The sequence below is a fragment of the Homo sapiens genome, chromosome 4 (assembly GCF_000001405.40).
Source record: "Homo sapiens chromosome 4, GRCh38.p14 Primary Assembly".
NCBI classification, from domain to species: domain Eukaryota; kingdom Metazoa; phylum Chordata; class Mammalia; order Primates; family Hominidae; genus Homo; species Homo sapiens.
In genome coordinates this window covers 91,549,515-91,564,037 of record NC_000004.12, presented here as the reverse complement: position 1 = coordinate 91,564,037, position 14,523 = coordinate 91,549,515, and the positions used below count along the sequence as shown (strand labels likewise).

At 31.8% G+C, this 14,523-nt stretch overlaps 1 protein-coding gene across 8 annotated transcripts in view; it reads right to left on the bottom strand.

The window, feature by feature from the left end:
* The window catches only part of CCSER1 (coiled-coil serine rich protein 1), a 1,477,902-nt gene that overhangs the window by 41,258 nt on the left and 1,422,121 nt on the right, over window positions 1–14,523 (bottom strand). The window lies entirely within an intron of this gene.

The window sequence follows — 14,523 nt, the reverse complement described above, 5'->3', positions numbered from 1 at the left end:
GAGTAGGGAAAGGAGCAGAAAAGATAACTACTGGGTACTGGGCTTAATACCTGAGTGATGAAATTATATTTATAACAAACTATCATGACACGTGTTTACCTATGAAACAAACCTTCATATGTATCACCAAATCTAAAATTTAAAGTTTAAAAAACAGAACTAACTTTGTATGCTTATTTTGCATCCAGCATCCTACTGAATTTGCTTATTAGTTCCAACAGGTTTTTGGTGAAATCTTTAGAATTTTCTCTGTATGAGAGCATGTCCTTTGCCGAAAGAGACAATTTTACTTGCTTCTGATTTGGATGTCTTTTATTTCTTTTTCTTATATAACTGCTCTGGTTACGATGTCAAGTACTATGTTGAACAGAAGTGACAAGAGTAGGCATTCTTGTCTTGTTTCTCTAATCTTAGAGGGAAAACTCTCAGCTTTTCACCACTGAGTATTATGTTAACTGTGGGATGGTCTCATATAGCCTTTATTGTGTTGTAGATATGGAACACTGTGTGTGTAGATATGGAACACTATATCTAATTTGCAGAGAGTTTTGATCATGAAAGGATGTTGACTTTTTTTCAAATGCTTTTTCTGCATCTGTTGAAAGGATCATATGATTTTCATCCTTCATTCTGTTAATGGGGTAGATTACATTTATTGATTTGTGTATGTTGAACCATCTTTGCATCTCATGGATAAATTCCACTTCATCATGGTGAATCATCCTTTTTGATATGCTATTGAATTCAGTTACCTAGTATATTGTTGAGAATACTTGCATCTATTTTATCAGAGATATTGGCATGTAATTTTCTTTTCTTGTGGTGTCCCGGCCTGACTTTAGTATTAGGGTAATGCTGGCCTTGTAAAATGAGCTTGGAAGTATTTCCTTCTTTTCTTTATTTTGGAACCATTTGAGAAGGACTGGCATAAATGTTTGGTAGAACTTAAAAATAAAGCCATCATGTCTGCTTTGCTTTGATGGGAGATTTTTTATTACTAATTCAATTTCCTTACTTGTTATTGGCCTGCTCAGGTTTAAAATTATGACTTTTTAATTGCACATATATTGAGTTTGGCATGAACATTATCAATTCAGCAAACTTATTTTCAAAACTCACTCCTGTTCTACAACTTGTTAGACTCTCAAACGTCTTTATGTAATTTGTCTCATAATAATGTTGATGACATTATTTCATTTCCTGAAAAGTCTTCACATCAAATATTTCCTCTTTAAACTATTTAAATAAAATACGTTACAATATCATTTTGAATGAGAAGTATTTGCCATTTCAAAATAATTTTATTATTAGCTATCACTATAAGTACAATCTAAAACTCTCTGCATGGAAGATCCTACTCTGAAAATGGCTATGCTAAACAATGAACACTTTCATTCAATTTCTTTTTGGCCATCAGCATATAGAGTCTAAGTGGGTCTACAATTCTTGACTCTGGAACAAGGGTTCTGAATCAGTAGGTCTTGTGCTGCCTCCATCTATTTAAAATTTAAATTTGGCATGTTTACACAGGACAACAGCTGCTCTGTTTGCAAGAGGTAGAACATGGAAAGAAGATAAACCCTTATTCCATCCAAGGCACACACAACAGCTTGAAGGAGAATATTCTGAAAACAATGATACTTAGTACAGACTATAGAAAAAGTTATATAAAGATACTTAGTACAGACTACAGAAAAAAGTTATATAAGGTCTGCTTTAAGAATTTTTAAGGGTGACATTACAATAATCCAATTTTAAAGACATAAAAGTTCACAATTTTGAAAAAAAACACTTCAATATGTCTCATGAAAACAGTGGTTCTTAACTTTTCAATATCTTAAAATGTTATAATAGCAAGATATTTTGAATTTCAGTGATTGACAAAAGAAAATAACTTTGGTAAAATGTGATTGAAGTTACATTAACCTTAACCCTATTTTCTAGATGTCTGACACATCATCAGTGGAGTACAATTCTCACTGAAATCACCATTTCCCTTATGTATATGAGATCCAGTTCATCCAAGTCCTGAATAAACTATGAAACTGCTCTTATGAGGTCAGATAAAATAAGATGTAGAGCTATATAATCACACAAAAATAAATATTGCCCTGAAAAGAATTTTACTTAATGTATAGTTAAATTTTACCCATGATATACCCATAGAAGAAATCTAAGAATTATATGTTCATAAGAGTGCTCCTTTTGAGAATTTTAGGAGTAGATATGTGACAGCTATAAAGAAACTGAAAAAAAAATTCAGCAGCAGAAACAGCTTTCATCCTATGCAAGAGTTTAAATCCATTTTTGATTTGTCTGCTTTTTAGAAATAAAAACATTTATTGATTTCCTACTAAATTCCAGGCACCATTCTAGCCATTGGTGATGTAACTGTGAACAAGATCAAGATTTTCCCCTCATGGGGCTTAAATTTCTATGTAAAGGGGACTGAAAATCACCCGTAAATACATATATCATGTATTGCTAAAGGCTGTAAATAAAATTACTAAGTATAATGAGCTAAAGAATGACTACATGAGGGATCAGGGGATAATCTCACTGACTAGTGAGAAAAATCCTCTCAAAGGAAGTAAATTTTGACTTGAAACTTAAATCATGAGTAGAGGCAGCCCAGATAAAGGTCTCAGAATAGAGAACCCCAGGAAAAACTAACAATATTTGTAAAAGACTTCAGAATCAAATATGACACCCAAGTGTATTTGCAGAGGGGGAAGTGAATGAAAACTGTATAAAACAAGGTCAGAAAAGTTGTCAGGAATCACATTATGTAGCCTCATGGTAAGGACCATTTTCCATTTTAGATATATTACAGTACAGGAAGAAGTTTTAAGCAGAGGAGTGATGGGTAAGACACGACACTTTGAGAACACAATTTTGGCTTCTGTATATACAGAGGATATTCCAGGTTGGAGTGAGAATAGTAGGCTATTGTTATAGGTTAGGAGAGAGATGACTTGGAATTTTAAAGCTTTACAAATACATGTATTTAAAGTACAAGTTTGGGTTTTTCATATAGTTTTACTTTCAGGTTTTGGAGTCAGTAGTTTGCTTTCAGTTATTAAATCTTTGTACAGGTCCTTGGAAATGTGTAAGCACTAGCTCTGTATCTATGATGTCTACTGGATAGAACACTCTTGATGTTACTTTTTCTTTAATTCTAAAGAACAATATGTTGTTCTTTATAATTAGGTATCACGTGAAGTAATCTGAGCATAATAAACTACTGGAAAAGAAAAGCACTTGAGAAGCTTAAAACTCTGGTCAAATTCACAGGAAAAGTAGGCTAGATATGAGTGAATAATTTGCCATAAAGAAATCAATTACTATTTGAGGTTAAGCAATTGTTAATTCGGTAAATATATACTGATGGGTGCTCTTTACCAGACATTGTGTTTGTTATTAAACGATTGAGCATACAGCAAGAAATAAAAATTGACCTGCAACTTGACCTCATAAAGCTTTTGAATTTTTAAAATATATAGTTAAATTAATAGCCTGCCAGCTATTAATGAACAAATGTTCCATCCATGGGGAGAAAATTGTTTTGTTTTAAATAAGAATAATATTACTGTATGTTCATATATCAATGGGATAATCCATTTAGTCAACATTTAATTACTAATCACCCACTATGTTTCAGACAAAATATCAATGCCAAATAATCAAGCTTCAAAAGGAAAAACAAAGTATATATTTGATAACATTGCTGAAAAGTGTTTGTTTCCTTTTAACTGCTTCAACAATAGTGCACAAACTAAATAATGTTGTTCTGTCAAGTAAACTGAGAAAGAATTGGAAATTATATGGTAGCAACATCAATCTAACTACCACATTATGTAATTGATTTTGCCTTGGTAACAGTGATGAAAATGGGACTTTTTTTTCAATAAAGCAACATATTTTATTACCTTGAGTGACTAGAGTATATGTATCTAGCATTTAAAACAATATCTATTTATCTATTTATTCATTATCCAATCAGTTTACCTACTCATCTGTCAATTGATGACACATGTAATAAAAAGCCTTGTCAAAAAGTAATATTGTCAAAATTTGATTTCTTATATTTTTCCTACTCTTTTAAATTTTCAGTTTTTCCTTTTTTCATTACATTTACCAATGACACCCACTGGCCAAAACATAAAGTAATAGAATAAGACCATTTTTATTTAGATCACTAATGGTTAAGATATTACAATATGATACTATTTAAAATATGTACAACTTACATTAGAAAAAATAAATATAATTTTTCTAATAATGACTTATAAAGCAACATGGATGAGAATAATATACCTCTTTGTAATTGGAAATTATTATTTTAATAATTTACTCACAAATTTTCTTAAGGCAATTAAGATATCTCTTGGGAATAACTGGAGTTTGATTTTCATGTTTCTATGTTTTATGAAAAATATAAATTCATAAATATAAAGTAATCCAGAATTGTCATCCCTACTCCCCTGGATTCAAAAAAAATGGCCAGATGGATTAGTAAACCCCTTTTGGTTAGTGCAGGTGTCAAGCCCAGTGCTAGGAGAGCTGAAATATCCCAGGGGGAAAAATATTCCTTCATCTTAATAGAATAACCTTGCAGAATATGTGACCTTGTTTTACCACACATTACAATGAACTTAGAGAACAGCTGAAGGTGTGGAGCCAATTATACACGCTTTGATTTTATTTGGAGAATTCTTGAAGATGCTCATAGTGGACCAGCATGAGAATAAAGTATTAGAATTTTAAATTATTGTTATATTATTTTAAATAAGAAATAAATTTAACTTGGAAAATTAGTGCTTAACACACTGACTTTAACTCTATGTAGTATGCTCTAGGATTCTCAAAAAAAATGGGATTTCCAGCACAGAATAGTTGACAGAGGTCCATATCCAAACTTTGTTAGTTAATATTAGATGACACATACTTAACTAGACATATGTAAGGTAAACTTATAGTAGTACACTGAAAGCAAAGGAAGCAATGTGGAGTTGACACTTCTGCTCCTAGAATGAACCATGAACCATTCTGTAGATATATAATTTGAAATCAACAAGAATCTCCCCATAGCTGATGAGAAATTACCAAAATAATTAGAAATTGCTATTTGAAATACTTACATCCAGTATTATTAATGGTGATATGGTTTGGCTGTGTCCTCACCCAAATCTCAACTTGAATTGTATCTCCCAGAATTCTCATGTGTTGTGGGAGGGACCCAGGGGGATGTAATTGAACCATGGGGGCCAGTCTTTCCCTGCTACTCTCGTATAGTGAATAAGTCTCACAAAATCTGATGGGTTTTTCAGGGGTTTCCAACTTTGCTTCTTTCTCATTTTTCTCTTGCCACCACCATGTAAGAAATGTCTTTCACTTCCTGCCATAATTCTGAGTCCTCCCCAGCCATGTGGAACGGTAAGTCCAATTAAACCTCTTTTTCTTCCCAGTCTCAGGTATGCCTTTATCAGTAGTGTGAAAACAGACTAATACAAATTGTGAACTTTACTCAAAGTATGTATTGTGATTTCAGACATCAGCAAATAACAACATGGAACCATTACAATTAGCAAGACATTTATAAACAAACAAAAAAAACTCACATTGTTACAGCAATATTTAAATACAGTGCTAAAATACTCTAAATTCATTGATGGTTCTTAATAATTATCAAAAAACAATACGCTAGCTATGTTGAGGAAGTACATTTATCTCCATCTGCTTTTTAAAATGGCTGGAATAATTCCTGGAAATAACATGGGAACCAATAATACACATATTTTGTTTTTTGGATCAATGAAGTTTTGGAAGAGAATATATCCTTTGGATAAGACAACTTTTAAAATCAAATACAAGAAAAAACTAAATATAGCTTTTCAATACCAGGCTTCAAAAATAATGAAATATATTTTTTTTATTAAAAGGTAATTATTAATATATTAAAATACCATATTAAGAGTAAAAATTCTTTGTAATATACATTAAATAAAATGTTTAAGAAATATTTAAAGTACTATTAATTGTATTTTAATTTACCCCATTAATATCTTTTTTTGTGTATTTTTATCATGGTCCTAGTATAACATGATTTAGTATAAATAAATATGTAAATGCTTACATTTTGCTTACAAAATGTCTTCATTGATACAAATATGAAATCTAAAAACTTTGGAGACTACTTCCCTATAGGAAAATATTAATATAACAACTGTCAATGACTGCAACCTTAATATATCTTTACAAAACCTTTTCACCATATTACTTGCAACTCCTTGAACACATTACTTTCACTCTGGGCTCCTGTAAAAACTATATTTTCTTCATGAATGCCCTTATCTTCTTGTACTCCATTAGGAACTCATCCAACCTTTAAAACATAGCTCAATTATCTCTTCTTCAGTAAGTTTCTCTAATATCCCTAACCAAAATTAATCCCATTCCTCATCTATACTCCAATATTACTCTGTTCTAATTGTTATCATAGTATTTACTACATTAATAAATATTGTTTATTTATTTATGTATCAATTCTCTGAAAGTAGGATCAGAGTCTAGATTATCTTACCTTCCCAAGTTCAGTAGGTGCCTGCCACATAGAAGATATTCAGTAAATTCTGAATGAATTTTAAAAATGAATTTAAAAAATAAGAGTAAATATGATGTTGCCAAGACTCTTCAGGGCTATCTTATAACTTTAAGTCAATAGCACAAGGTATTCAATTCCAGGAGCTATTATATAAAATAACAAATTCCTGGAATTTTACAATTTTACAGAAACAAATAATTGACTTGTATACGTGGATACCAAGAGCTCCTAAGGACAGATCACAACATGCAGGAGCTCTGATGTATCCTTGAACAATATTCTTAAGAGTTGTACACTCCATACATTCTGTGGTACACTCTGAGTCAAGAAAGAATTTCAAAGTGTAACCTCCTTTCCCTACATTATTCTAAATATTTTAAGCAAAGTGTCACAGAAAACATTTATTTTCTTGCCATTTAATAGAGCCAGTAGGGATAAAGAAAACTATTTATAAAAATGTTGAAAATATGTATAAGAAGATTCACCAAAAACTAAAAAATGGCCTCTCTAAAAAATGGCTGTGACTTTGTTGTTTTGACATATTGGTCAGAAGAAAAACAAAAACATTCTAATCATTTCATATAATTCTTACATTCAAAGAAATCAATAATTTTTCTTAAAATATCTTTTAATATAATGCATTTACACCAATTATATAAATTATTTGTGCCTACTGTCTGTAAATTTTTCTCTGCTAAAAATAAATGAAAGTTGCTGAAATATTAGAAAATATTCTCACAGGAAAGCCCATTCATCCCACAACTACCCTAAGATCATGGAGTCGGCAGGATTGCTCTTTATATAACATATTTCATCCAGTAATTATTAATTTATAATCTGTCTAGATAGTTTTGAACACTCATTTTTTTGCCTTTTTTCATTCAAAGGTTTTTTTTAATTATACTTTAAGTTTTAGAGTACATATGCACAATGTGCAGGTTTGTTACATATGTATACATGTGCCATGTGGGTGTGCTGCACCCATTAACTCATCATTTAAAAAATTATTCTACTATTACTGATTGCCTGTGAATGCTTGGGCCAGAATTTCCACTGTGTTCTTTAAGTTTATTAATAATCCACTTTAAAAAAAAGAAGGTTAGAGCCATCAGTTTTGAATAGACCAAATTTTTTAACAGTTTACAGATAAGTTGGGTAATATTTCACTTTAAATGAAAGTAATCATAACTTTAAAGCTAAAGTATTTAACTGTCAATGAGCTGTCCCAAATTAGATCAAAGTCAAAATTAGCATTCACTCATTTCTTGGGCCTGACCTTCATTTCCTCTAAAAATATTACGTTAAAATAACTACAAATACAACATTTTCCTCAATGAAACACATATGTGTTATGTGCTAAGGCACGTTTCATTTACTTAACTCATTTAAGTTTTTCTTTTACCAGTATTTATCATCATATTAATGCCATTGAAACTTCTATTTTTGCATCTACAATGGAGTAATTAAGGGTTTGACCGTTTCATTTCAATGTGACAGGATAAAATTGTTTATACATCTCAGCTTTCTATTTCTTTACCTGTACAATTACACACCCCTGGGGATGCTGTAAGGATTAATGAGTTTGAAAAGCACATTGACCTTTCTGATGAAACATGCTCTGTAAGTACAAAATGTTATTTTACTGTACTCCAAAGAAGAAAGATACATTGCAAAAAAGTAAAAACATAAAATAAGATGAAATTGAGGTAGATTGATAACACAGGTACATTATGAATAAAAATTTTCTCAAATAAGGCTTTGTCTTAGCTTTTAAGTTTGTTCTTGTTCCAAATATTCATTCTTTTGTTAGATTTGTTTTTGTATCTAGTGTATGTATTTAGTCATTTCTTTGAAAATGGATAACATTAATGTTAGTATAAATTATATATCCTCACTGTATTCCTCTTTAGACAGTATATAAGACCATAATTAATACAACTAATCAGAGTACTGCTAGTTGATTGATTACTATGTGCCGGGCATTGGGCTTTAAACTAGTCTTAGTATATTTGGTATATTTAGTTGATACTAGTCACAGTATATTTAGTTCAAGTCATACAATATATAATGGAAGAAAATAAACTATACAGTAACTTATCCTAGCTGATCAGTGATATTAATATTTTTGAACTGCAGTAATAAACAGAAATGAATGCACATAGAAAAATGTGACTTGAAGAAGCTGAATTTGGTAGTGTGAGTCTGGGCCAATTTACAAAGAGAAAAATAGTGAATTTGAGGTCAACCAGCAAATTGGCATAGCTCTTTGTTGGCTGTGCTCTGGGTCATATTGAAAAAAAATCATTTTGCAGACCAATGGCAAGAAGCTTTCCTCATATATTTTCTTTTAGCAATTTTAGAGTTTCAGATCTTGTATTTGAGTTTTTAATCCAATTTGAGTCAATTTTTACATATGGCATGAGATAAGGGTCCAATTTTATTCTTCTGCAAGTAAATATCCAGTTCTCCCCAAAACATTTATTGAAGAAACTGTCTTTTTCCCTATTGTATGTTCTTGGCACCTTTGTCAAATATCAAATAATACTAAGTGCATAGATGTAATCCTGAGCCCTCTATTTTGTTTCATTGTTCTATATGTGTTTTTATGGCACTGCCATCTTTTTTGATGACTGTAGAGAGCTTTAGGATATATTCTAAAATCAGTAGTGTGATGTCTTTGCAGCTTTGCTCTTCTTTGGCTATTCTGGGTCTTTTGTAGCTCTATATAAATTTAGGATTTTTTTGCATTTTAATAAAAAATACCATTGGAATTTTTATAGAGACTGCATTGAATCTATAGACTGCATTGGGTAGTATGGACATTTTTACATTATTATTTCTTGTAGTCCTTCAACACAGGATATTTTTCCATTTATTTACATCTTCTTAAATTTTGTTTATCAATGTTTTTCAGTGTTCAGTGTACAGATTTTCCTCTTTCTGGTTAAATTTATTCCAAGTTCTTAAGATTTTTTTGTGCTATTGTGTATGTGGTCATTTCATTAGCTTCTTTTTTGACAGTTTATTGTTAGATCAAAAGGTTATAATGAACATACAGAACATTCCATACAACAGCAGCAGAAAATACATTCTTTTCAAGCCTGTAGTGAGCACTCTCCAGGATAGATCATATATTAGGCCACAGGAAAAGCTTTAACAAGTTTAATAATATTGAGACCATATCTAGAATCTTTTTTGACCACAATGATATGAAATTAGAAATCAATAATAGAAGACAAATGGGAAATTCACAAATGTGTGGAAATTAAACAACATGCCTGTGAATAAACAATGTCAGAGGATAAATCAAAAGGAAAATCAATACGTATCTTGAGACTAAGGAAAATGAGAGCACAATATACCAAAACTTACAGAAGGCAGTGAAAGCATTTCTAAGAAGGAAGTTTATAATGATAAATGCTTACATTAAGAAAATAAGCAAGATCTCAAGTAAACAATAAGCTATACACATTAAGTAAAAAGAAAAAACCAAGCTGAAAATTAGAAGAAAAAATAATGAAGATTAGAGAATATATGAGACACAAGAATTATAATAGAAAATATCAAATATATTGGTTTTTTTTAAAAAATTGATAAACCTTTAGCTAGACTAAAAGAAAAAAGAGTGGATATATAAATCAATAAAATTATACATGAAAGAGAAGAAGACTCTACAACTGATACTGCAGAATTAGAAAGATTATGAGGCTACTATAAGTAATTGAGCAACAACAAATTGAATAATTTAGTAGAAATGGATAAATTTATAGAAAAATGCAACCTACCAAAGCTAATTCATGCAGAAATACAAAAACTTGAAAAAGCTAATAATAAGTAAGGAGACTGAAGACAAAAAAAAAATTCCCGTAAGTAAGGAGATTGAATCAGTAAAATATCTCCCGACGAAGAGAAGCCCAGGACTTCATGGATTCATTGCTGAAATCTACCAAACATTTAAAACACAATTAATATCTATCTTTCTTAAAATATTAAAGAAGAGGGAATGCTTTCAAACTCATTTTATGAGGCCAGAATGACCCTGATACCATAGCCAGACAAGAACATTGTAAGAATAAAAATTATAGGCCAATAACCTTGATGAACATAGATGCAAAAATCCTTCAATAAAATACTGGCAAGTAGAGCTTAACAGGCCATTGAAAAGGATCATACACTATGATCAAGTGGGATTCATCACTGAGATGCAAGGATGTTCAACATCTGCAAGTCAAAAAATGTGATCTAACACATTAACAAAATGAAGAATAGAAATCATATAATCATCTCAATAGATGCAGAAAAGCATTTCACAAAATTCAACATCCTTTCATGATAAAAATACTCAAAAAATTAAGTGTAGAATATACGTCTCTCAACATAATAAAGGCCTCTTACTAGGCCTGTCTTATATATAATACAAAACAAATCACAGCTAACGTTATATTCAATGGTGAGAATCCGAAATCTTGTCCTCTAAGATCAGCAAAAAGACAAGGATGTCCACACTTGCCAGTTCTATTTGATATAGTATTGGACATCCTATGTAGAGCAATTAAGCAAGAAAAAGAAATTAAAGACCTCCAAATAAAAAAGGAAGAAAAAATTATCTTTTTTTAGATGATAGAATCTAATATATAGAAAATCCTAAGACCTCCACCAAGAAAATTGTTAGAATTAAAAAAGAAATTCAGTAAAGTTGCAAGATATAAAATCAACATGCAAAACTCAGTTGCATTTCTTCTGTTTTAGCATGACAAGCTAAATCCACAGTCAGCCTTGTTGCTTCCACTCTTTTGAGCATTCCACTTATACATCTTCCAGTGTATAAAATGAACTACTGTAGTTCCTTTTGTCATATATAAGGCCACTGTCCAAATACACTGTCTTAGAGGGACCTCTAGCTCTAAATATAAAGAAGCATACCACCCATCCTCTCATTCTTTATCACATCAACCCAAATTATGACTCTGTATAATGATCTTGTTAATTACTTGATTGGTTATTGATTATTAATTTCTAGCCCCAAGAATGTAAGTTCCTTCAAGACAGTGTCTCATTCTTTTCTGTATCCTCAGGCCTCAGAATGGTGCCTGGAAAGTAATTTATGTTTGGAAATACTTGCTAAATTAAATAATAGATTGATTAATAAGAATATTTGAGGGTCTCTAATTATTCATTACATTTATCAGCTTAAGCACATTGGATTCTAACTCAGCATCATTGAATAAAATGTTATTGGGCTGTAACATGCTAAAATCTCTTGTCTATGCAAATTTGAGGGTAGTTTAGCCATCTGAGCACATACTTGAATTAGAGATTTTATGTCATACATTAAAAATTATATTCAAATTTTTATCTTAAAAAATGAACTTATTTCTTCTATATACCATAAAATGAAAAGACAATACTAATTTTGATTTCAATATCAGAATTTCCTACTACATTGAAATTTGTCAAAATTCAAACTGCCACAGCATTTTTCCCCTCCCTTTTGCCTCTACTTTAAGCTCAAGTTATAATTACAAATGTTGATGTTTGACAGTTCTGATGTTTGTCAGCACACTAAAAGGAAAGAAGTTCATTTTCAGGAACAAAATCTCAATAAAACATGCAAAAAAGTGACCTTTTGTGTGTAAATGATCTCTTCTTTGGAAATATAAATTAATAAAAGAATAATTTCCTGGTAGTACATTGCAAAGTCCTCCATCTTGAGTGCTTCGGCCTTGACTGATTGTGTGTGTGTGTGTGTGTGTGTGTGTGTGTGTGTGTGTGTGTGTTTGTTTTTTGCCTGCTGCTTCAGGAACTACTCAAGAGAAACAAATATTTTAAGGAACATTTAGAGCCTATACAAGCTCAGCTTTCGTCATAAATTGGTGTTAATAAAATCCCTGCATGGGTCTTTGGAAGTCTCTATTGGACTGTATCCAGTGGTTTTCAACTTTACCTACAATAAAACCCTAATAGAAATATCAAACAGCTATTGAATACGGCTCTTCAATGAGGTTTTGCAGCAGGTTAGGTGTTGGGTTTAATATGCTCATTATTTTTTATCAAGCAAAGAATCATAAGCTTTACATTTCAGAGTAATTCATAGCTCACTGTTTTTATTGAGATAAACTGTAAACATTTAAAGAAATTTTCCTTTAATCTATAAAGGCACTGTATAGCAAAACTATATTTTAAGCAATTAACACAATAACATAAGTATTGCCTTTCAAAAATCTGCATATATAAAGGTATTTGAAGAGTATATTATTTTTACCTCAAATATATACATAAGCTTTTGTTTTACTTATTGCTTCCCTAAATATATAGTATATAAGTAAAATAATGTAACAAAAATCCTGCCCATGCCCCTAGAAATATAGTAGTTTGAATTATATTTGACTGCTCTTTCTTTTTTATTATTGTAGAGTATATCTGGAGCTACTGGCTATATCAAGCAGAAAATACTTTATGTTCTTAAAGTAAGTCATGAACATAAACTTTCAATATTATTTAAAATAATAGTTTCAAATGCTCAAGTTAGTTTTGTTTTAAACAGTGAATTTGGACACTTCTATGTAAAATCATAGAACTGGAGATGGAAGTTTGCTTTGCGCATATTCAGAGAATTTATTACTGAAAACAATATTGCAAAATTCTAATATCAATAATATATTAGCATTTCATTCAGTTATTCTTTCATCCCCTGTGCATTCATTAACACCAATTCTGCTCCAGGCACTAAATCAAAATTATGAGTAAGATATGGTATGATATAGTATAGTATAGCCCAAGAAGCTCTCAATTTTAAATATAATTCTCTTCTTAAAACATTACAAAACGAACTTCTGTTTTCTGAACCAGAAATAGCCACTCCATTCTAACAATAAACGAAAAGCTGAACAAATCAACAACTCTTCTTAGATTCATAAAATAATAAGTCATGTTACAGCACAAATCGCATTCTCCAAATTTGAAAGACAGATAGGCAGATACAGAGAGCCACAACTTATCAGAGCAGAAACTTCCATGGGAAGCAATAGGAAAATCTAAACTGTAATTGATGAATTGCTGGAGACCCCCTGAGGACAAGTCCTTGAGTTAAAAGCTCCAAAGGGGACCAGTCATGGGGCATGGTGTGGAGTGACATACGGTGCCACAATTTTGTGTTTTACCTGCAAAAGCCCTACGAAGTCCTTACAATAAATACCAGAAAACATTCCATCTTGCTTCCAGCAAGAGGAGGGAAAAAGGAAAGTTTGGAAATATTTCAGAGCATTCTGTTTTTAACAAGTCCTTCCCTTGGGAGAAACTATTTTCCCAGAGCCTAACCTGCAAAAGTTTTATCAGAGCCTGACATACCTGGAGGAAGGAAAATACCCAACTGTAGCCAGTGCTAGCCTCCCATGTTAGGGAAGACCCAGTGACAGTTCCCTATACCCTTCCACATGGGTAAAGAGAAATACCAACTCCAACACATACTATCTTGTTGTCCCACTTAATGCAGGAAGGAAAAAAAAAAAGCAGCAATGACAAAACAAAACTGAGAAGCGGCAGTGAAGTTCACAGTGTAGACACTGGCTCACCGAAGGACTAAGGCTCATTTATTTTTTTGAGACAGGGTCTGGCTCTGTTGCCCAGGTTGAAGTGCAGTGATGCAATCTTGGCTCACTGCAACCTCCACCTCCCAGGCTCAAGCGATCCTTCTGCCTCAGTCCCCCAAGTAGCTGGGATTACAGGCGCACCAGCACGGCCGTCTAATTTTTGTATTTTTAGTGGAGACGGGATTGTGCCATGTTGCCCAAGCTGGTCTCGAACTCCTGAGGTCAAGTGATCCGCTTGCCTCTGCCTCCTAAAGTGCTGGGATTACACACTTGAGCCACCTTGCCTGGCCCCCAAAGGACTAAGACTTAATAATAGTATGATTGAATGCA